At 38.4% G+C, this 24,815-nt stretch overlaps 1 long non-coding RNA gene across 1 annotated transcript in view; it reads left to right on the top strand.

Moving 5' to 3' along the window:
* LOC105377510 (uncharacterized) overlaps positions 1-23,379 on the top strand; it is a 38,425-nt gene extending 15,046 nt beyond the window's left edge. The window contains exon 3 of the long non-coding RNA XR_939403.2: positions 23,310-23,379. This is a non-coding gene — a long non-coding RNA (uncharacterized LOC105377510). The remainder of the gene's footprint in view (positions 1-23,309) is intronic.
* Positions 23,380-24,815: the final 1,436 nt, after the last annotated feature.

Below are 24,815 nucleotides of genomic sequence, written 5' to 3'. Positions count from 1 at the left end.
CAGTCAATTTTATGAAGCACATTTTGTAGTAATATATTTTTGTCCGTTTTGTGTTGCTGTAACAGAATACCTGAGACTGGGTAAAATTTATAAAGAAAAGAGGTTAATTTAGCTCACAGTTCTGCAGGCTGGGAAGTTCAAGGGCATAGCCTCGGCTTCTGGTGAGGGTTTTTCTGCTGCATCATACTATGGTTGAGTAGCTCAAAGGGGAAGTAGACACATGTGAAGAGAAGCAAAACCCAACGAGTGTTCTTGCTTTATAACAACCCACTCTTTGGAGAACTAACTCAGTCTAACGCGTTCATTACCAGTGGCACCAAGCTACTTGTGAGAGATCTGCCTCCATAGCCCAAGCACCTGCCACTAGGATCCACTTCAAATACCATCACACTAGGGAGCAAATTTCAACATGAGTTTTGACAGGAACAAACTAACTATATCCAAATGATAGCAGTGTCCCGTAATTACAATGTGTTACATGGCCCAAATATGATCTCTGTGGAGCCTGTCTTCTTGAAGAGAACTTGTACTTTTAGGTAAGAGTGGAGGCTTGACTATGTATATAGAAAGTAAAAAGAAAAGCAACATTAAAACAAAGCAATCTTTCCTTCAGTTGCTGGATGTTTAATTTTACTAATATAAATAAGTTTATTTCCCCTTGACTTTTCCTTCTAGGGACTAAATTAAACTCTTAAAAGAATAAATGTAATACATCTTTAAGCATTATGATTTATGTTGATAGGTTGTTACAATCTACTTTGAAATTTCAAAAGGTGATAGAAAAACCATATCTACAGGTAAAATCCTTCATTTTATAAATTTCTTTGGAATAAACAGAACACGGTTAAGTTCCTGAGTATAGATAATGAATATATCTCACTCCAAGAAGGGCCAGTTCTCAAAATGAGAATATTCTTATTTGTTATTATGTTAAACATAACCTTAATGTTTTTCAGATATTGATTTTTTTTATATATCCACGATCTAGAAACCCACTCACAACGCAAAAAAGGAACAGAAAATGTCTCACTTTTTCTTGGATCACTTTTCTTTATTTTATAATTATACTACTTATTGTTACTTATATCAGAAAATGGGCATAAGAAAGTCAATGGGTGAAATTAAAATGAATCCATTTTGTCTCTTCCTTGCAGCTCTGTCAAATCATATTTTTTCTGAAGATAAATTATTTGTGAAAAAAGTTTTGGAATTTATTTTACATTAGGTCTTATTTTTTCATTGCAACAAAATATGAGTTTTTGAATTTGAAAATTAGACATTGAACTTCCATAATTAAATAACTGTACATCTATGGTTATGATCACTAAAATTATCTGAAAAATTTATAAGAAAGGTAAAATGTAAACATCTCCCTTAAATTTTGTTTTTGTGAAAGTAGTCAAGTCATTTCAGAAAAAAGAGGATCTTGGCCGGGCGTGGTGGCTCACACCTATAAACCCAGCACTTTGGGAGGCTGAGGCGGCGGATTACTTGAGGTATTTTTAGAAGAGACAGAGTTTTAAAAAACTTAGCCAGGCATGGTGGTGGGCACCTGTAATCCAGCTACTTGGAAGGCTGAGACAGGAGAATTGCTTGAACCTGGGAGGTGGAGATTGCAGTGAGCCGAGGTTGCACCATAGTACTCCAGCCTGGGCAAAAAGAGCAAAACTCTGTCTCAAAAAAAAAAAAAAAGTATCTTTAAAAGTAGCTCTTAAACAGTTGGGAGGCACGTTATATGTATATACACACATATACATATACACATATATACACACACATATACATACATACATAGACACACAATTTGGTTTTTAGGAAACCAAGTGTTATGAATTGTGGTTTTTCTTAAAATACAATAAAATTTTACTGTAAGTGCAAAAATTCCTAAATAAACCAAAATCATTTTTCTTTTGTCACAACAAGAATTCTTGCTTCTAAGAAGACAAAAGTCAAGGGAACTTATTAAAAAGTCACATAGCTTCTTGGACACCAGCTAAATGAAACCATAGCTCATGGCATAAAGGTCAGGTCGCTTCCTCTGCTATCAATGTACATTAAAGAACTGAGACACTTCCCACAAGTTTCAATGAAGGCATAGATGTTTCTATTATCTGGATGTATCAGGTGTACATTATTATCATTCTCGGTTATCTAGATGCTTCATTACATTCTAATTGTTTCACTGGGCTCAGCCAAACATTGAATATAATGAAACAAAACAAAAGCACACACACACAAAAAAGAAACAAAAGACTTTGTAATAAAAGAGACATAAAGATAAATTCTATTATCCTGTTATGTGGAAGGATCAGACAGGGATGAAAATATTCTTCACGGTTCTCTGCCTTTGTGTCATGACATAATCACCCAACTCCACGCCAGGCAACAGAGTCACAGCAGAAACAAATATCTACAACAGTGATTAGCAACTAGAATAATCAGGGAAGCTTTAAAAAGTGCCAATTCCTAGGCGCTAGGCCCAGTTAGATGAGCTCAATTTATCTGGGGTGAGGTTTGGGCATCAGCATTTTTTTAAAGCCTCCTGAGTGATCTAATATTCAGTCATAGTTCAGTAGAGACCCGTTGGTCTATAGCTAGTAGAGAGAATGAGATGGAGTTCAAGTAAGGAATGACAATTGCATAGGCCCAGACAATGAGAGAAAACAGGGATTAAAAAAAAACAGGCAGATATTAATAAAGCAATAAAGAACAAGAAATAAAACAACAAAACTTTGGAATTATTCACAAAATGGCAACTGTGTAAACACTTGCCTTGGTCATTAGGGGGTTCTGCAGAGATGCTGTCATTGTCAATAGGACTCTAAATAGAAAAGACTCTTCCAAACCAGGCAATCATTTAGCCAATTCTAAGCATAGATGCCAAGAGCAACAGCCATAATTTATGCATAGAGGCAAAAAGCTTAAATATACCTGCTATGGTTTGAACATGTCCCCCAAATTTCATGTGTTGAAAAGTTAATCCCCAATGCAACAATGTTGAGAGATGGGAAGTTAAGAGGTAATTAGGTCATGAGGGCTTTGCCTGTTATCATGAGGTGGTTATCTAAGGAATGGGTTCCAAATAAAAAGGATTAGTTTGGCCCCCTCCCTACCATGCATGCTTTCCCACCATGCGATGCCTTCCTCCATGTGATGATGCAGCAAGAAGGCCCTCACCAGATGCGGCTCCTTGGTCTTAGACTTCCCAACCTCCAGAACTGTGAGCCAAATTCACTTCTATTGTTTATAAATTACCCAGTCTGTGGTATTGTTATAGCATTACAAAATACACTAAGACAACACCCAACTAGAGGGATTGCAAGTTATACCACTTTCATTTCATTTCATAATCATTTCACGTGTTGTTATTCCAATTAAAATTCTAATGTGACTTTAGATTTTTACTTCTCGTTCAAACTGGGGCCTCTGGATGTTTAGGAAAGGTTATTCTAAGCCTTAGTCCCTTCTTAAGGTCTCTGAAGAGTCAGCTGAAACTTATTTGACCTAGAATTTTTTTTATGAGATTTCCTTGGAGTTAATGTGCTTTTTTCCTGGCATATATCCTAGGACAAATACTTAAGGAAGGATCCTCTGTCCAATTTTTGTTTTTGCATAAATTTTGGATTTTCTATAAAGATTCCCCTTTCACAGCTCTACCTCCCTGGAAGTTACCATTTCTGGCTTCATTCCTTTTTTCATACTCTCTCCTATTCCCACTCTGCCATCCTCATGGAGTGCCTTTTCTCTCAGTTTTCTCTTCCTCATCCCCAGCATGCACAGACACACAGAAATAGAGACTGGAACAATGGTTGCAACCATATTTGTAAGTCTTCTTAACACAAATAATTCAATCTCTATATCTATGCTATTTGTTTTCCACTTTAAAATGTGAAATCTAGGGCTTTCTCTAATCTTCATGTGCTTTGAGGGAAAGAGTCCCCTGGCTTTTTTCTTTTTGCCATATTACCTACAGCCTCCAAATAACAAAAAGTATTGTACCACCTTTTCTTACGCCTAGCCCCCTATGATTGGTTGTGAATTTGAGTAATGAAGGTCTGTGGATTTCTTGCCAGTTAACAAGAAGCTATATTTTTAAAATTACTAGATTTTTACAAAAGGAATAAAAGCACATTATTTAAAATAAAACATCAGTTCTGGACTTTTAAAGATGTTTTTCCTTTTATTATAGTTCTTTGAACATTTTTTCAAAGGAATGCATGTTCATTTTTACAATAAGGGTTTATCTTTAAAAAATGGATGGCTGTTGGCCTATCTTCCCTAGCCTTCAGTTCAGGCATTCAAAGACAATCATTTTCAGATCCTTTGGCTGTTTCTTCTGGTGTTTACTTTAAAATTTCAATGATACTGCCTACAATTATTTTTATTGCTCCATTTAGGACCTCGTCTTTGACTTCCTCTTACGGTAGATGAGGATTCAGCTGTGAGTGCTCCTCGCTTTTTCCCCCAAGGTAGTCATATCATCGTGTCTTTGGTTCTAGACCTTGGTGCTTAGTTCTTTAACTACAGAACCCTCAGAGTTCCGACTGCTCAGGGACACTAGTCAGGGTTGATTTAAGCATCTGACTCTCAGGAATCTAGTAACAAGCCTTCTTTTTCATCCCTACAGTGATCATTAGGCGACAAACAGCTTTCTTTCAAACATTTGATGTCAAAAAGTTTGAATACACCTTCCTTTACTGCACAATGGAACTATTAAATACCTTTTAAAAAGATACTTTCTTTAAGCTTTTATTTTTGGATGCACACAACCATTCTGAAGGGAACTACATTTCCTGACCCAAAAGTGTTTACTTTTCTTGGTATCAGCCTCCAATTATTCTGCAATGATCATTACCCTTTGGGTTGGGGTCACTTCCAGTGATTCCCAGGAGAAGATCTGGCACACTGGTGGCTAGAGAAGAAACAACAAAAATCAAAACACAAAAGTTCACAAATGTCTTTTTTTTTTGAGATGGAATCTCGCTCTGTTGCCAGGCTGCAGTGCAGTGGTGCGATCTCGGCTCACTGCAACCTCCGCCTCCTGGGTTCAAGCGATTCTCCTGCCTCAGCCTCCAGAGTAGCCGGGACTACAGGTGCGCCACCACACCCAGCTAATTTTTGTATTTTTAGTAGAAACGGGGTTTCACCATGTTGGGCAGGCTAGTCTCGATCTCTTGACCTTGTGATCCACTCTCCTTGGCTTCCCAAAGTTCTGAGATTACAGGTGTGAGCCACCGTGCCCGGCCCACAAGTATCTTTTATAGCTAGGCCTCTCACCACAATGGCATATGACTTTCCTGGGTGACCATTAAAAGGGAACTCCTCATTTAAAGCTGCAGGTTCAGACAGGTTTGTTTAGAAACTAGTTTCACTGCCTTATAGAAATGCCTCTACTTTTCCACACAGGCATATACAAGTGCAGAGCTGGGCAACCAACAATTAAGGTGATAAAGTAAAGAATGCAGCATGTTCAGAATTAAGAAACGTATATGTGTTTGACTTAGAATATATCTCTCTTCAGTGGTAAGCTTGAATTTTTTTTATTGGACCAGAGCTTTGCCTCCTCTTCTCTTCCAGAACATTTTCTTCTTAACAATATAAAGCTACATGTCATATTCTGATTACACAGCCCTGGCTTTCCTTATGAGTACGGCTAATAGCTCTAGGACACCCAGAGCAGGAGAGAGACCGGTGGCTTCTGACTTAGTGATTCCTGGCTGGTCCTACTCTCTCATGGCATTGTTAATTCAGATCTCAATATCTTAATCCTCCCTATTAGAGGTATGAATGTTGGAATTAATCTGAATGAGGCGAATTCTCCCTTTTATGGCAGAGAACATGTATTTCTAGTTTGCAAGATGTGGCAGGTGAGAGCATACTGCAAAACCTCACCCCCTTCCCCCTTTTTCTTATTTCCCCTCTACAGCCTTCACCTTTCACACTGCAAGAGCCTCTCAGTGGTCCCCTCCTGGAAGCCCGATATGGTGATGTCTTTCTAAGTCCTTTCAGGCAGAGTTAGGTCCATTCTTTTTGTTTTCTTAACATTTTGTCCATATCTCTGTAATGGGTCTTTTTAATACCACACTGTAATTTATTTTTCTCTGGCTTCTCTATCCACTAGCAGGAAAGGACTTAAATGATTATGTGTTCACTGTACCTAACTCAGTGACTGAGTCAAAAAAAAAAAAAAAAAAAGAGGCTCAATAAGCATTTGTTGAACAAATAAATGAAGCAATTCTAAGATGCAGGCATTGGGAACATTCTGTGATTTATGCTATTTTTTTTTTCTTGGGGCTCAGCAATATATTGTACTTCAGGAGAGTAACTATCTGTGACTAAAAATATAGACTACCAAAGAATTCAACCAAAGTGTTCAGGTTTGTTCTTGAGGAATATTGTTCTTCTATGGACCAAGGTCTTTTTTCAGTGTTTCAGAAATTGGGAGAACAGAGTAATTGTCTGAGCGTCTTTTCCTTTCCCACCAGGCAATGTAAGAAACTTGCTTTTCTTTGTATTGCCAATGATACTCATCAAAGACCAAGGTGACATATCTTTTTCCAAATTTGCCCTTGGCAACTGAGTCTAGCTTTTCTTTGCAGACAAAGCAAAATGAAACAATCTGACAGATAAGGCATGTTATAGATAATAAGAGAAGATTTTCCAAATAGCCTCTAAAATTAGAAGGATTACATTAGCCATCCAGCTTGAAAACTAAATAGTATCGAAAAGTAAATTTGTTAAGTAAAACTGCTGGTGGAAACTGGAGACTGAGGCACCTGACACACTGTATATATGAATTACTAGATTTTAGATTCTTGGCAACTAATGTTTGTTTTATTGTTTAACTATTTATGTTAGTTTCTTAGGGTTGCTGTAGCAAGTTACTACAAACTTGGTGGCTTAAAATAACAGGAACTTGGCCGGGCAGGGTGGCTCACGCCTGTAATCCCAGCACTTTGGGAGGCCGAGGTGGGCGGATCACGAGGTCAGGAGATCGAGACCATCCTGGCTAACATGGTGAAACCCCGACTCTACTAAAAATACAAAAAATTAGCTGGGCGTGGTGGCGGGTGCCTGTAGTCCCAGCTACTCGGGAGGCTGAGGCAGGAGAATGATGTGAACCCGGGAGGCAGAGCTTGCAGTGAGTAGACATCGCACCACCGCACTCTAGCCTGGGCAACAGAGTGAGACTCTTGTCTCAAAAAAAAAAAAGAAAAGAAAAGAAAAAAAATAACAGGAACTTATTCTCTGATAGTTCTGGAGATTAGAAGCTCAAAATTAAGGTGTTTGGTAGGGTTGGTTCCTTCTAGAAGCCCAGAAGGAGCATCTGTTTCCCTGCCTCTCTCCTAGCTTCTGGCGGCTGCTGGCAGTCTTGGTTCCTTGGCTTGTAGACTCACCATTCTGACCTCTGCTCTACCTTCACGCCACCTTCTTCTCTGGGTGCATGTCTCAAATCTCTTCTTTTCTTATATGAACACTAGCTATTGAATGTAGGACCCTCTTTAAATCCAGGATGATCCCATCTGAAGATCCTTTTCATTACCTATGCAAAGACCCTATACTCAAATAAGGTTACATTCACAGGTACCAAGATTAGGATTTGGGCATATCTTTTTGAGGAATACAATTCAATCCCCCATACCACCCATGGATTTATAAAATTTCTGCATTAGTTGCAAGACATGTTAGATTTTGTATGTGTTAAAGATATGATTACAGAAGCAAAATAGAGTGAAAAGTGGAGGTAATAGGAAAATTCCAGGAAATAGCCAATCTTGATTCAAGGGGCTGAATATTTTAGGTAAAACATATTTTATTTTGAAACTTTGTATGATGCTCTGAATAGTTTTTTTAGCCTTAAGAGATACTAAGTTGAGAAAAAGTAATAGCTAGGAGGAGAAGAAACTTATCATCTGACAACCTAGAGAGAGGCAAGACATTACAGGTTCAAAAATATTCTGAAGGTTCGATGACTTGTGAAAATGTCTCAATACTGCAAAATTGCCATGAATGTCTTTTTAAAGTTTCTTACTGTCTAGAATTTGTGCTTTGATTTGTAATTCTACAATTTAAGATATTAATTGGAGCTAGCTAGTTAATATTTATTGAATACTTAGATGTTCAATTATGAAAGACTCAGTAGACGTAATTTGATCTTCTTTACTAACCTCCTTTGGTCAGTGATATTTCCATGTGGAATAAGGTTTTCATTGCTTTAGTCTTGGATTCTTTTAACAATTTAGCCTATGAAGGATCAGTATAGTGAATTTTCAATAGCAATAAAAAATCTGATGTAAATTTTCTTTTTTTTAGACAGTCTCGCTTTGTTGTCCAGGCCAGCTAACTTTTGTATTTTTAGTAGAGACGGGGTTTTGCCATGTATATTTTCTTAAATGTAGCACTTTATGACACTTTTTTCATACAATGAATGATTTGGTGAATTTGTCTAAAATACACTTTCCTACGTTATGAAATAAATACCACAAATATGTTTAACAAAACACATAGTTGATTTCTTAAGATTAAAGTATGATTCTTAAGGAAATTGTATAATAATGAGTCATTGTTTGAATAGATTTGTTATTTATGAAAGTGGTGAATAAGCAACCTTATGAAATATTAAAGATGAAGGTAGTAAAGAGATCATGTGAAGCAGTTTTGGCCCTTTTTATTAACTAAAAACATGTAATATTTACTGCATTGTAAAGAAATCATCGATGCATTTGATATTAGGTTTTTTAACTCATTTGGCCAATTCTGGATCAGAAAATATGAGAAAAAGTAAAATTGGATAAAGTGGAGTTAAAACAAATGTTGTTGAGAAAGAAAGTGGGATCATTGGGATGGGTGTATCAAGTCATCAGAAAGATGAAGCTGCGTGTGTGTCTAGCATGGATCATTGAATTGATTGATCATTGGTTAGAAGAGATAAAAGTATAAATACCCTATCTTCTTACTGCTTTCTTTCTTTTTCTTTTCCAGCTTTTAACATGTTCTAAAAAGTGTTCATATTAATTATTGAAAGCAATATTTATATATGATTGAATTAATATTGAGAGCAAGATTTATGTGGCTGAATGAAAAGTTATAATAATATAGATAAACAATATGGTAAGATTCAATTTTAGCAGAAAGGATGAAAACTCCTTACATTTAAATGTCTAGTTTAGAGATGAAGAGATTGTGAGGAAACAGTTAACCACACCGTGAGAGGCTGGAGGAAGGAACATGGTAGTGAGGAACATTACAAGAGGTTGAGGTGAGGAAGATGGTATCTAAGTGGCAATTCTCTGCAGGTGGGGAGAGAGATGTGCAGTGAGGGGATGCAAAAGCTGTCTTTGGATTCCCAACTGTGCTTTTTCTCCCTTAAACAAAAAAAGTCCAAATACTTACTAGGCTTCCAAAGAAGAGATACAATATTAAAACAACAACAACAAAAAAGTTTTGCTCATTAAGAAGTAGAAGAAAGAGAACATAATTCTTTATCATTACCATGGTGATTTGTGAAAACAGAAATCAGTGAGCCCTAACTTAGGCCAGGGGTGAAAGTAGAAAGAATTCAGGGCTTGTGCTCCAGCCCTAGAGCCATGTCTACTGACTCAGTGGGTGAATGCTGTACACCACCACACTTTTCTGAGCCTCTGTTACACCCTGGTAAAATTAGGGGAATGGTACTGATGACTCTTACGGTGTGTGGCTGAATAAAAACATGAATCAAGTCAAAGCTGTGGAGTTGAATTGATATTTAGTTAGGATGACGATCCCATTACAGTCACTAACTTTTAAAGTTGTTCACCTTTTTGCAGATATCATTTATTGTTTATAATAGTGCCTATGTAAGATAGGATGAGTTATTCAAAATTCATCATCATTATCAGGAAAACTGCTAAAATTTCATGGCTCTCTCATTTAAGAAATGGTCAACATGTTTGACTACTTAACAAGAGTGCATGGAAAATTGCCATAAATGAAGTAAAAGAAAAATCACACATTGTAAAGAAAATGTTTGTGCCTTATGGCTTATGTTAAAGACAAAGGGCTATTGTTTCTAATATATAAAAAAGGTACTAAAAACAGGAAATAGAGAGACCAACAGTGATAGAAAAATGAGCAAAAGATATGCTAGGCAGTTCACTAGAAGAAGCAAAAATTGAGTTTAATGATGTTTAAAGTTATTTAAAGAAGCTCAAACTTACTTTAATAGAAGAAATGTAAATTAAAACTAACTATATTGAGATACTATTTCTCACCTATAATCTTGGCAGCAATCTAAATGTTTGGTAGAATATTCTGCTCGCAAGGCTGTTATGAAATAGACAAACTCAAATGGCACTGGTAGAAATGAAAAATTGTTATATCCCCATATGAAAAGAAGCTTGGCAATATTCTTTCAATTGCAATATTCATTTGCTCTTTGAGTCAGCATTCCCACTTCTAGGACTATAATTCATGAATATACTAGTATAAGTAAAAACAACATTAGCAAAAGGTTACCCATTGTTTTATTTGTGTGATAGAGTAAAGAATTTTATATACATACAATTACAGATATAAACATAAATACAATTACTTATATGTGTAATGACAGCAAAGAAAAAACCCTACAATCCAAATGATATGATACATCTCACAGTGGAATACCCTGTAGACATAAAAAGAAATGAGGAAAATTTTCCATATCCTAAAGTGGTGTGATTTCCAAGATACATTAAATGAATAAAGTAAGGTAAAAATGAATAGTATATATATGACATGCAGACTTTTGTACAGGAAAGGGGGAGAAATACAAATATATGTGTATATTTGCAGAGGGAAATTCTGAAAGGGTAAATGAAAAATGGACATAAATGGCATATAAGGGAGGGAGGGAACAAGGTAGATAAGACAGGGATGGAAGTAAGACTTACCTGAACATATTTTGTAATACAGCTTCAACTTCAGGTACACACTCACAAGATAAAAATTTTTAAAAGCAACACTTAAAAATGGAAACATGCTAAAAATGAATGTTTAAATGCATTTTAAGTTGGAGAAAAATCACTCAAAGCAAAGGATTATTTCAAGTGACTTCAGAACTTATTTTGATTATAGATCCAAAGTGTATTCTACAGACATATATGTTCTACACTCACATATTTTAAAGACATAGACATGAGGGGGGAAGTCAAGATGGCCGAAAAGGAACAGCTCCGGTCTACAGCTCCCAGCGTGAGCGGTGCAGAAGACGGGTGATTTCTGCATTTCCATCTGAGGTACTGGGTTCATCTCACTAGGGAGTGCCAGACAGTGGGCGCAGGACAGTGGGTGCAGCACACCGTGCGGGAGCCAAAGCAGGGCGAGGCATTGCCTCACTCGGGAAGTGCAAGGGGTCAGGGAGTTCCCTTTCCTAGTCAAACAAAGGGGTGACACACGGCACCTGGAAAATCGGGTCACTCCCACCCGAATACTGCGCTTTTCTGATGGGCTTAAAAAACAGCGCACCAGGAGATTATATCCCGCACATGGCTCGGAGGGTCCTATGCCCACGGAGTCTCGCTGATTACTAGCACAGCAGTCTGAGATCAAACTGCAAGGCAGCAGCAAGGCTGGGGGAGGGGCACCCACCATTGCCCAGGCTTGCTTAGGTAAACAAAGCAGCCAGGAAGTTCGAAGTGGGTGGAGCCCATCACAGCTCAAGGAGGCCTGCCTGCCTCTGTAGGCTCCACCTCTGGGGGCAGGGCACAGACAAACAAAAAGACAGCAGTAACTTCTGCAGGCTTAAATGTCCCTGTCTGAAAGCTTTGAAGAGAGCAGTGGTTCTCCCAGCATGCAGCTGGAGATCTGAGAACAGACAGACTGCTTCCTCCAGTGGGTCCCTGACCCCTGACCCCCAAGCAGCCTAACTGGGAGGCACCCCCCCAGTAGGGGCAGACTGACACCTCACACAGCCGGGTACTCCTCTGAGACAAAACTTCCAGAGGAATGATCAGACAGCAGCATTCACGGTTCATGAAAATCCGCTGTTCTGCAGCCACCGCTGCTGGTACCCAGGCAAACAGGGTCTGGAGTGGACCTCTAGCAAACCCCAACAGACCTGCAGCTGAGGGTCCTGTCTGTTAGAAGGAAAACTAACAAACAGAAAGCACATCCACACCAAAAACGCATGTGCACATCACCATCATCAAAGACCAAAAGTAGATAAAACCACAAAGATGGGGAAAAAACAGAGCAGAAAAACTGGAAACTCTAAAAAGCAGAGTGCCTCTCCTCCTCCAAAGGAACGCAGCTCCTCACCAGCAACGGAACAAAGCTGGATGGAGAATGACTTTGGCGAGTTGAGAGAAGAAGGCTTCAGACGATCAAACTACTCCGAGCTACAGGAGGAAATTCAAACCAAAGGCAAAGAAGTTGAAAACTTTGAAAAAAGTTTACATGAATGTATAACTAGAATAACCAATTCAGAGAGGTGCTTAAAGGAGCTGATGGGGCTGAAAGCCAAGGCTCGAGAACTACGTGAAGAATGCAGAAGCCTCAGGAGCCGATGTGATCAACTGGAAGAAAGGGTATCAGTGATGGAAGATGAAACGAATGACATGAAGTGAGAAGGGACGTTTAGAGAAAAAAGAATAAAAAGAAACAAACAAAGCCTCCAAGAAATATGGGACTATGTGAAAAGACCAAATCTATGTCGGATTGGTGTACCTGAAAGTGACGGGGAGAATGGAACCAAGTTGGAAAACAATCTGCAGGGTATTATCCAGGAGAACTTCCCCAATCTAGCAAGGCAGGCCAACATTCAGATACAGGAAATACAGAGAATGCCACAAAGATACTCCTCGAGAAGAGCAACTCCAAGACACATAATTGTCAGATTCACCAAAGTTGAAATGAAGGAAAAAATGTTAAGGGCAGCCAGAGAGAAAGGTCGGGTTACCCACAAAGGGAAGACCATCAGACTAACAGAGGATCTCTCGGCAGAAACTCTACAAGCCAGGAGAGGGGGGGCGCCAATATTCAACATTCTTAAAGAAAAGAATTTTCAACCCAGAATTTCATATCCAGCCAAACTAAGCTTCATAAGTGAAGGAGAAATAAAATACTTTACAGACAAGCAAATGCTGAGAGATTTTGTCACCATCAGGCCTCCCCTAAAAGAGCTCCTGAAGGAAGCACTAAACATGGAAAGGAACAACCGGTACCAGCCACTGCAAAATCATGCCAAATTGTAAAGACCATCGAGGCTAGGAAGAAACTGCATCAACTAATGAGCCAAATAACCAGCTAACATCATAATGACAGGATCAAATTCACACATAACATATTAACTTTAAATGTAAATGGACTAAATGCTCCAATTAAAAGACACAGACTGGCAAATTGGATAAAGAGTCAAGACCCATCAGTGTGCTGTATTCAGGAAACCCATCTCACGTGCAGAGACACACATAGGCTCAAAATAAAAGGATGGAGGAAGATCTACCAAGCAAATGGAAACCAAAAAAAGGCAGGGGTTGCAATCCTAGTCTCTGATAAAACAGACTTTAAACCAACAAAGATCAAAAGAGACAAAGAAGGCCATTACATAATGGTAAAGGGATCAATTCAACAAGAAGAGCTAACTATCCTAAATATATATGCACCCGATACAGGAGCACCCAGATTCATAAAGCAAGTCCTGAGTGACCTACAAAGAGACTTAGACTCCCACACAATAATAGTGGGGGACTTTAACACCCCACTGTCAACATTAGACAGATCAGCGAGACAGGAAGTTAACAAGGATACCAAGGAATTGAACTCAGCTCTGCACCAAGCGGACCTAACAGACATCTATAGAACTCTCCACCCCAAATCAACAGAATAGACATTTTTTCAGCACTACACCACACCTATTCCAAAATTGACCACATAGTTGGAAGTAAAGCTCTCCTCAGCAAATGTAAAAGATCAGAAATTATAACAAACTGTCTGTCAGACCACAGTGCAATCAAACTAGAACTCAGGATTAAGAAACTCACTCAAAACTGCTCAACTACATGGAAACTGAATAACCTGCTCCTGAATGACTACTGGGTAAATAATGAAGTGAAGGTGGAAATTAAGATGTTCTTTGAAACCAACGAGAACAAAGACACAACATACCAGAATCTCTGGGATGCATTCAAAGCAGTGTGTAGAGGGAAATTAATAGCACTGAATGCCCACCAGAGAAAGCTGGAAAGATCCAAAATTGACACCCTAACATCACAATTAAAAGAACTAGAGAAGCAAGAGCAAACACATTCAAAAGCTAGCATAAGGCAAGAAAGAACTAAAATCAGAGCAGAACTGAAGGAAATAGAGACACAAAAAACCCTTCAAAAAATTAATGAATCCAGGAGCTCATTTTTTGACAGGATCAAAAAAATTGATACACTGCTAACAAGACTAATAAAGAAGAAAAGAGAGAGGCATCAAATAGATGCAATAAAAAATGATAAAGGAGATATCACCACCGTTCCCACAGAAATACAAACTACCATCAGAGAATACTACAAACACCTCTACGCAAATAAACTAGAAAATCTAGAAGAAATGGATAAATTCCTCAACACATACACCCCCCCAAGACTAAACAAGGAAGAAGTTGAATCTCTGAATAGACCAATAACAGACTCTGAAATTGTGGCAATAATCAATAGCTTACCAACCAAAGAATCCAGGACCAGATGGATTCACAGCCAAATTCTACCAGAGGTACAAGGAGGAACTGTTACCATTCCTTCTGAAACTATTCCAATCAATAGAAAAAGAGGGAATCCTCCCTAACTCATTTTATGAGGCCAGCATCATCCTGATACCAAAGCCTGGCAGAGACACAACCAAAAAAGAGAATTTTAGACCAATATCCTTGATGAACATTGATGCAAAAATCCTCAATAAAATACTGGCAAACTGAATCCAGCAGCACATCAAAAAGCTTGTCCACCATGATCAAGTTGGCTTCATCCCTGGAATGCAAGGCTGGTTCAATATATGCAAATCAATAAATGTAATCCAGCATATAAACAGAACCAAAGACAAAAACCACATGATTATCTCAATAGATGCAGAAAAGGCCTTTGACAAAATTCAACAACCCTTCATGCTAAAAATTCTCAATAAATTAGGTATTGATTGGACGTATCTCAAAATAATAAGAGCTATCTATGACAGACCCACAGCCAATATCATACTGCATGGGCAAAAACTGGAAGCATTCCCTTTGAAAACTGGCACAAGACAGGGATGCCCTCTCTCACCACTCCTATTCAACATAGTGTTGGAAGTTCTGGCCAGGGCAATTAGGCAGGAGAAGGAAATAAAGGGTATTCAATTAGGAAAAGAGGAAGTCAAATTGTCCCTGTTTGCAGGCGACATGATTGTATATCTAGAAAACCCCATTGTCTCAGCCCAAAATCTCCTTAAGCTGATAAGCAACTTCAGCAAAGTCTCAGGATACAAAATCAATGTACAAAAATCACAAGCATTCTTATACACCAATAACAGACAAACAGAGAGCCAAATCATGAGTGAACTCCCATTCACAATTGCTTCAAAGAGAATAAAATACCTAGGAATCCAACTTACAAGGGATGTGAAGGACCTTTTCAAGGAGAACTACAAACCACTGCTCAATGAAATAAAAGAGGATACAATCAGATGGAAGAACATTCCATGCTCATGGGTAGGAAGAATCAATATCGTGAAAATGGCCATACTGCCCAAGGTAATTTATAGATTCAATGCTATCCCCATCAAGCTACCAATGACTTTCTTCACAGAATTGGGAAAAACTGCTTTAAAGTTCATACGGAACCAAAAAAGAGCCCACATCGTGAAGTCAATCCTAAGCCAAAAGAACAAAGCTGGAGGCATCATGCTACCTGACTTCAAACTATACTACAAGGCTACAGTAACCAAAACAGCATGGTACTGTTACCAAAACAGAGATATAGATCAATGGAACAGAACAGAGCCCGCATATCTACAACTATCTGATCTTTGATAAACCTGAGAAAAACAAGCAATGGGTAAAGGATTCCCTATTTAATAAATGGTGCTGTGAAAACTGGCTAGCCATATGTAGAAAGCTGAAACTGGATCCCTTCCTTACACCGTATACCAAAATTAATTCAAGATGGATTAAAGACTTAAATGTTAGACCTAAAACTGTAAAAACCCTAGAAGAAAACCTAGGCATTACCATTCAGGACATAGGCATGGGCAAGGACTTCATGTCTAAAACACCAGAAGCAATGGCAACAAAAGCCAAAATTGACAAATAGGATCTAATTAAACTAAAGAGCTTCTGCACAGCAAAAGAAACTACCATGAGAGTGAACAGGCAACCTACAGAATGGGAGAAAATTTTCGCAACCTACTCATCTGACAAAACGCTAATATCCAGAATCTATAATGAACTCAAACAAATTTACAAGAAAAAACCAAACAAACCCATCAAAAAGTGGGCAAAGGACATGAACAGACACACTTCTCAAAAGAAGACATTTATGCAGCCAAAAAACACATGAAAAAATGCTCACCATCACTGGCCATCAGAGAAATGCAAATCAAAACCACAATGAGATACCATCTCACACCAGTTAGAATGGCAATCATTAAAAAGTCAGGAAACAACAGGTGCTGGAGAGGATGTGGAGAAATAGGAACACTTTTACACTGTTGGTGGGACTGTAAACCAGTTCAACCATTGTGGAAGTCAGTGTGGCAATTCCTCAGGGATCTAGAACTAGAAACACCATTTGACGCAGCCATGCCATTACTGGGTATATACCCAAAGGACTATAAATCATACTGCTATAAAGACACATGCACACATTATGTTTATTGCGGCACTATTCACAATAGCAAGGACTTGGAACCAACCCAAATGTCCAACAATGATAGACTGGATTAAGAAAATGTGGCACATATACACCATGGAATGCTATGCAGCCATAAAAAATGATGAGTTCATGTCCTTTGTAGGGACATGGATGAAATTGGAAATCATCATTCTCAGTAAACTATCACAAGAACAAAAAACCAAACACTGCATATTCTCACTAATAGGTGGGAATTGAACAATGAGAACACATGGACACAGGAAGGGGAACATCACACTCTGGGGACTGTTGTGGGGTGGGAGGAGGGGGGAGGGATAGCTTTGGGAGATATACCTAATGCTAAATGATGAGTTAATGGGTGCAGCACACCAGCATGGCGCATGTATACATAGGTAACTAACCTGCACATTGTGCCCATGTACCCTAAAACTTAAAGTATAATAATAAAAAAAAAAGACATAGACGTGGAAAGAATTCTAAAACTTCATTCAACTTCACTGTTAGTAGTAATATTGGTAAAATTATTTAAAAATAATCATATATACCTGGTGAGATAAAACACAAAATTTTTTTTGTTAATATTGCTAGGAACTGAGATATTTGGTGTAATCAAAAAAAGAAACAAATACAAGTTCAAAAAACATAAGCAATTTTTTTTTCTTTTTCTGTTTCTTTCTTTTTAAAGATAAGAGTCTTGTTATGTTGCCACGGCTGGTCTTGAACTTCTGAGCTCGAGTGATCCTCCTGCCTCAGGCTCTTAAAGTGCTGAGATTATAGGTGTAAGCCACTGCACCCAGTCTAAGCAAAATTTTTGAGATGTTAAATTTGAATTGTAGATGAATATATGATTTTTATCTTCATAAGTATTTATTTCCAATCTGACCACATAAAAATTCTAGAAGTAATGATAGCCTCATATTCATGAGCTTCCATAGTATTGTGTCAATAAATAACTTTTTTTCATTTTTTTCTTCAACTTTTTTAAGTTCCAGGGTACATGTGCAGGATGTGCAGGTTTGTTACATAGGTAAACATGTGCCATGGTGGTTTGCTGCACAGGTCATTCAATCACTTAAGTATTAAGCCTAGCATGCATTAGCGATTCTTCCTGATGCTCTCCTGTAACCAACCTATAGGCCCCAGTGTGTGTTATGCCTCTCCAAATGTCCATGTTTTCTCATGGTTCAGCTCACACCTATAAATGAGAACATGTGGCGTTTGGTCTTCTGTTCCTGCATTAGTTTCCTGAGGATAATTGCTTGCATCTGCATCCATGTCCCTGCAAAGGACATGATCTCATTCTTTTTTGTGGCTGTATAGTATTCCCCAGTGTATATGCACCACATTTTCTTTATTCAGTCTATCATTAATGGGCATTTAGGTTGATTCCATGTCTTTACTATTGTGAATGGTGATGCAATGAACATATGCATGCATGTATCTCTATAATAGAATGATTTATATTCCTTTGGGTATATACCCAGTAATGGGATTGCTGGGTCAAATGGTATTTCAGCTTCTGGATCTTTGAGGAGTTAACACACTGTCTTCCACAATGGTTGAACTAACTTACACTCTCACCAACAGTGTAAAAGTGTTCCTTTTTCTTTGGAATGTTGCCAGTATCTGTTGTTTCTTGACTTTTAATAATGGCCATTCTGATGATATTCTGGTGTGAGATGGTATCTCATTGTGGTTTTGATTTGCATTTCTCTAATGATCAGTGATGTTGAACTTTTTTTCATAAGTTTGTTGGCCACATGAATGTTTTCTTTTGAAAAGTGTCTGTTCATGGCCACTTTTAGTGGGGTTGTTTGTTTGTTTTTCTTGTAAATTTAAGTACCTTATAGACTCTGGATATTAGACCTTTGTCAGATGGAGAGATTGCAAAAATTTTCTCCCATTCTGTAGATTGTCTGTTCACTCTGATGATAGTTTCTTTTGCTGTGCAGAAGCTCTTTAGTTTAATTAGAACCCATTTGTCAACTTTTGCCAATACATAACATTTTAAATGAAATAAAGTTGAAGTTTAAAGGAATGGATGACTCTAAGTAAGGGATAAGAAATATATAACCCTAGGACATCTTGCGGCAAAAAGCAAGAAGACTTTCAAAGATTAATAAAGTCATGTCATAAAAGGAACAGAAGCCAATATGAAGCAGCTCCCCCTTGCCAAACATGGGAAAATTAAGAAAATGTAATAGTTTTGATGGACTTCCAAGCCCTTTGGGAAGTAGTGACAACATGTCTGATCTGTCCCTCCCCTACTCCCAAGCAGCTTTCTCTCTGACCTGCCTAGAGAGATGGTAATTACTCATTTGAAAACCAAACCAAAACTCACCATAGCCTCCCAACTGCTGATAACAAAGTTAAAAGGCCATGTTTCTGGCTCTCCCTCTCTCTGCCAGGGAAGAAGGGTCCATGGGAAGGGCCTCCCACCGAGCAGGAGTGAAGGAGAACTCTTCTTTCAGATTTACATTTTCCATCACACAGGTGAAATCTTCCCCGGTCTACAAGTCTCAGCAATGGGGCTGTGGAAAAAAGTGGGTTCGTTATTCAGAAATAGACTTTTCTGCTATTTCTCTTCTCCTCTTTGGTATTTCAGTTTATGCATTACTCAAGATGCAAAAGCAAGAAAAGTTAAAAAACAAACAAGCAAAAAAGCCACCTTCTCCTCAGAGCTCCTTTGTGAGATCAAAAAGTTTTCAAGAATGAGCATTGCTTTTGTTGAGTTTGCACAAAAATACTCAGGCCTCCAGGTCAGACCTGCTCTGTTGTAAAATGGAAAGAGGCACTTCCCACTAGGATGCTCTGAAAGACCTCAGGAAAGAAATTGGGAAGACTTTTTTTTTTTTTTTTTGAGACGGAGTCTCGCTCTGTCACCCAGGCTGGAGTGCAGTGGCACCATCTGGGCTCACTGCAAGCTCCGCCTCCCGGGTTCACGCCATTCTCCTGCCTCAGCCTCCTGAGTAGCTGGGACTACAGGCGCCTGCTGCCACGCCCGGCTAATTTTTTGTATTTTTAGTAGAGACGGGGTTTCACCGTGTTAGCCAGGATGGTCTCGATCTCCTGACCTCGTGATCAACCTGCCTCGGCCTCCCAAAGTGCTGGGATTACAAGCGTGAGCCGCCGCGCCTGGTCGAAATTGGGAAGACTTTCAATGGAGCAACTCTTATATTCACAGATGGCAAAAAGTAAAATGATGTGATCTTGGGTAAATTATTTGACCTACCTGAATGTTCAATTCTGTAACTTTGAAATAATATTTGGATGTATCTAAAACTGCTGTGCTGACTGATATCTATTATGGATTGGCTCATTCTGATAAACGCAAGAAGACAAACATGGTAGAAAAGTTTCCATGAGAATTTCAATTCTCAGGGCAGGAAAATTTTACCCACAGGAGCCAAGGAAACATTCGAATCACAAATGGTTGAACCCTGGGAGGACATGAAAAGACTGTTTCCAAAGATAAATTTCTCATAACTAGAACCCTCCTAAATGCTCTGCCAAAAAGTGCTCCATGGTCACGGAAGCTTAGAATAGTCAACAGAGAATAAGCACTCTTGGAAATTCCCAAAGAACATAACTAAAGCTGACTTTGAAATGTTCCATCTTAGCTCAACTTTTTTTTTTTTTAATTATACTTTAAGTTCTGGGATACATGTGGAGAATGTGCAGGTTTGTTACATAGGTATACATGGGCCATGGTGGTTTGCTGCACCCATCAACCCATGATCTACATTAGGTGTTTCTCCTAATGCTATCCGTCCCCTAGCCCCATCACCCCCCGACAGGCCCCAGGGTGTGATGTTCCCCTCCCTGTGTCCATGTGTTTTCTTTGTTCAACTCCCACTTATGAGTGAGAACATGTGGTATTTGGTTTTCTGTTCCTGCATTAATTTGCTGAGAATGATGGTTTCCAGCTTCATCCATGTCCCTGCAAAGGACATGAACTCATCCTTTTTTATGATTGCATAGTATTCCATGGTATATATGTGCCACAATTTCTTTATCCAGTCTATCATTGATGGGCATTTGGGTTGGTTCCAAGTCTTTGCTATTGCGAACAGTGCCACAGTAAACATATGTGTGCATGGGTCTTTATAGTAGAATGATTTATAATCCATTGGGTATATACCCAGTAATGTGATTGCTAGGTCAAATGGTATTTCTGCTTCTAGATCCTTGAGGAATTGCCACACTGTCTTCCACAATGGTTGAACTAATTTACACTCCCACCAACAGTGTAAAAGCATTCCTATTTCTCCACATCCTTGCCAGCATCTGTTGTTTCCTGACTTTTTAATGATCACCATTCTAACTGGCATGAGATGGCATCTCATCATGGTTTTTATTTGCATTTCCCTAATGACCAGTGATGAGCTTTTTTTGTATGTTCGTTGGCTGCATAAATGTCTTCTTTTGAGAAGTGTCTGTTCATATCCATCACCCACTTTTTGATGGGGTTGTTTTTTTCTTGTAAATTTGTTTAAGTTCTTTGTAGATTCTGGATATTAGCCCTTTGTCAGATGAATAGATTGCAAAAATTTTCTCCCATTCTGTAGGTTGACTGTTCACTCTGATGATGGTTTCTTTTGTTGTGCAGAAGCTCTTTATTTTAATTAAATCCCATTTGTCAATTTTGGCTTTTGTTGCCATTGCTTTTGGTGTTTTAGTCATGAAGTCTTTGCCCATGCCTATGTCCTGAATGGTATTGCCTAGGTTTTCTTCTAGGATTTTCATGGTTTTACGTCTTAGGTTTAAGTCTTTAATCCATCTTGAGTTAATTTTTGTAAAAGGTGTAAGGAAGGGGTCCAGTTTCAGTTTTCTGCATATGGCTAACCAGTTTTCATAACACCATTTATTAAATAGGGAATCCTTTCTCCATTGCTTGTTTTTGTCAGGTTTGTCAAAGATCAGATGGTTGTAGATGTGTGGTGTTATTTCTGAGGCCTCTGTTCTGTTCCACTGGTCTATATATTTGTTTTGGTACCAGTGCCATGCTGTTTTGGTTACTGTAGCCTTGTAGTATAGTTTGAAATCAGGTAGCATGATGCCTCCAGCTTTGTTCTTTTTGCTCAGGATTGTCTTGGCTATATGGGCTCTTTTTTGGATCCATATGAAATTTAAAGTAGTTTTTTTCTAAATCTGTGCAGAAAGTCAATGGTAGGTTGATGGAGAGATAGCATTGAATGTATAAATTACTTTGGGCAGTATGGCCAGGACATTTTTGAGGACTTTTTTTTTTTTTTTTTTGAGGATTGGAATTTATGATATCATTGGTTTAACAGCAAGCCTCAGTTGCCAGGAGTCTATTATCGACAGGGTTATTGTGCATTGGAATGGCTTCTCCCAGTGTCTAGAATGTGAAATGTCTCAGATGTGTAATATACAATTCAGAAGTAGGCACCCATGTTTAGTGCATGACATGGTTAGTCAGGTTCACTTCTGTGACTCCAGCACCCAGCACTGTGGCTTGCATGAAGAAGAGACTTAATAAATATTGTTGAATGAAGAAAAAAAAAAGAAAAAAAGTCACAGCTGCAATTGAACCAAAGATATTGACTAGAAAAACTATAAATTCACACTGACACTAACAGAAAGAGCTAGCTCCCTGCCCCTACCTGCAAAGTTTACTGCACCCCCCTCCAAAAAAAAAACTAGTCATTGTCACAATTTGAACTAACTATAGAACCAATTTCTTTGAAAATTGATAAGTAAAAAGACAGACTTTAGTAGTCATCCTGCTCAGCATTCATCACAATATCCAAAGTTCTTCACAGGATAATTCAAGCTAATAAAAATGGAAGGAATGGTGGAATTAGAAAAATCAACATTTTCCACTCCCATTTGGCCAACAATTATCAGTGAATAAACAGTATTTTTTAATGAATTCCTAGCAATTTCAATATCTGCATAGGTGATTCTTCCCACGCCTAGCCCTCTTTATTCTTTGAACTCCTCCATATGCTTCACCTACCTCAGTTATTTACTGCTATAATCAAAATCTGACCTCATGATTACTAAAAACCCTTACTCCTCTATAATCTCAGTTTCAAATATCCCATTCTCTGACCACTACTTTTTATATCTTTAGCTGACTCCCTCTAGTACCCCAATTCCAACAGTCTCCTATCCCATATGGAATTACAAATTTTCGATCCTATTACTGCGTCCCTTATCCCTATGATTTCCTCCTTTCCCTCCTCTTCTAGCTTAAAATATCCCTGAACCTACACTGAGTTGCCACTGTACCCTGTGAAGTAAGGATAAAAACAGGGTACTCCAGCACACTTGGGGCTGGGAGTGGGGGGGTTTCACAGTGAAATGGCCTAAACACTTGCTTGCTCATATCTGAAGCCCTTGGCGGGAAAGCGTCTTTCATTGCTGCCAACACTTTAAATTCAATTATTAGTCAGTGATCTTTCATACTGCTGCCCCTTTTTGATCTCACTGCAGGCACCACAGGGGACCCAATGCCCGCTTGGTCTTTGCCTCTAATGTTGGTGTGGAGCCAACTGTCAACAGTCCCGGAATCTATAACTCTCCTATGAGCACCCCCAGAGGTGAAGGCTCCGGCCACAGAATGTGAGTTAAAAATAGCAGCTTAGTTTTGTATCGTGAGCATAGAGTGTATTCAGCGATTCTTCCGTGCTGTGGGCAATTTTTAGAATATGAAGAACAATTGGAATACTTGACTCTCATTAATCAGAACTCACACAGGCGGCTTGCTCTCTGGGTGTTTAGTTTTTTCCTCAGTAAAACATGGAGGGTAGACCAAGTAATTTCTAGCACTACTACCCCTGAATTCTATGATAGCTTTCCAAGGCTATGCTCTGTTATTTTAGATTTTATTAAAGTCTTTTCTTTGAGTGTAATATCTTCATGCCTATCAAGTCTAATTTCCCTTGCACTCTATACCACTAGGTGTGTTATTTTTTATGGCTGACTCTAATTAGAGTTATTGCTCACCTACAGAAAGGAAGCAAATATTATTAAATGGTTGCCATAAAGGTGCTGTTATTCCAGCATTAAACTACAGAAAAATTTCAGGAAGGTGCTAGAATATAAAGGTAGAAAATAAGAGTCAGAGGATACTCTGCCTTTTGAAAAGATTTGAGTGTGTTGTGTCAATTATGTAGAAAAATTGTGTTAGATGAGGGGCAAAATGCACATTTCAAACATCTCTAGGCAATTTCGAAAATGATTGCACTTACTTTTGTAGTGCAGAATTATATTGAGTGTATTTTTCTTTTTAGTAGGTAGAAAATGAAGTGCAAATAGGCTTTTTAAGGTTGCTGGTGAAGGATTTCTCCTTATCAAGTTTCACTTTCAGTGGTTTTAGTTACCTGAGATCAGCTGAGGTCAGAAAACAGGTGAGTACAGTACAATAAAATATTGAGAGACCACATTCACATAACTTATGCCATATTATTAAAATTGTTCTATTTTATTATTAGTTATTATTGTTCATCTCTTACTGTGCCTAACTTATAAATTAAACTTTATCATAGGTGTGTACATATAGGATAAAACACAGTGTATATGAGATTTAATACCACCTGCAGTTTCAGGTATTCACTGGGGGTCTTGGAATGTATCCCCTTTGGATGAGAGGAAAGTACATGCAAATATGAACTATGGAAACCCTATCTCCTGGCAAAAAGTGCTAAACAGGTAAGGAAGAATAGGTTTAAAAAAATGACTCATTGACTTGTCAATGACTACTTTCTAAGAATCTTTTAGGGGAAAATAGGGCCATCCTGGGTTACATTTTCTGACGATTGGTAAAATACAACAATTCTTCATTATTCTGAGCAGTGTTTAGGACTGGGGCTTTCTTGCTTTTGGGTAGACACTGATTTGATAGAAGTTTTCTATCAGATAACTAGTAATATTTTCTGCACCACTTTATAAAGGTGAGACAGAGAAAGCAAGTTACCTTTTCCTATTTCTAAAATGTCA

Source organism: Homo sapiens, chromosome 4 (genome assembly GCF_000001405.40).
Source record: "Homo sapiens chromosome 4, GRCh38.p14 Primary Assembly".
In the NCBI taxonomy this organism is placed as follows: domain Eukaryota; kingdom Metazoa; phylum Chordata; class Mammalia; order Primates; family Hominidae; genus Homo; species Homo sapiens.
This window is presented reverse-complemented; position numbering and strand designations above follow the sequence as displayed.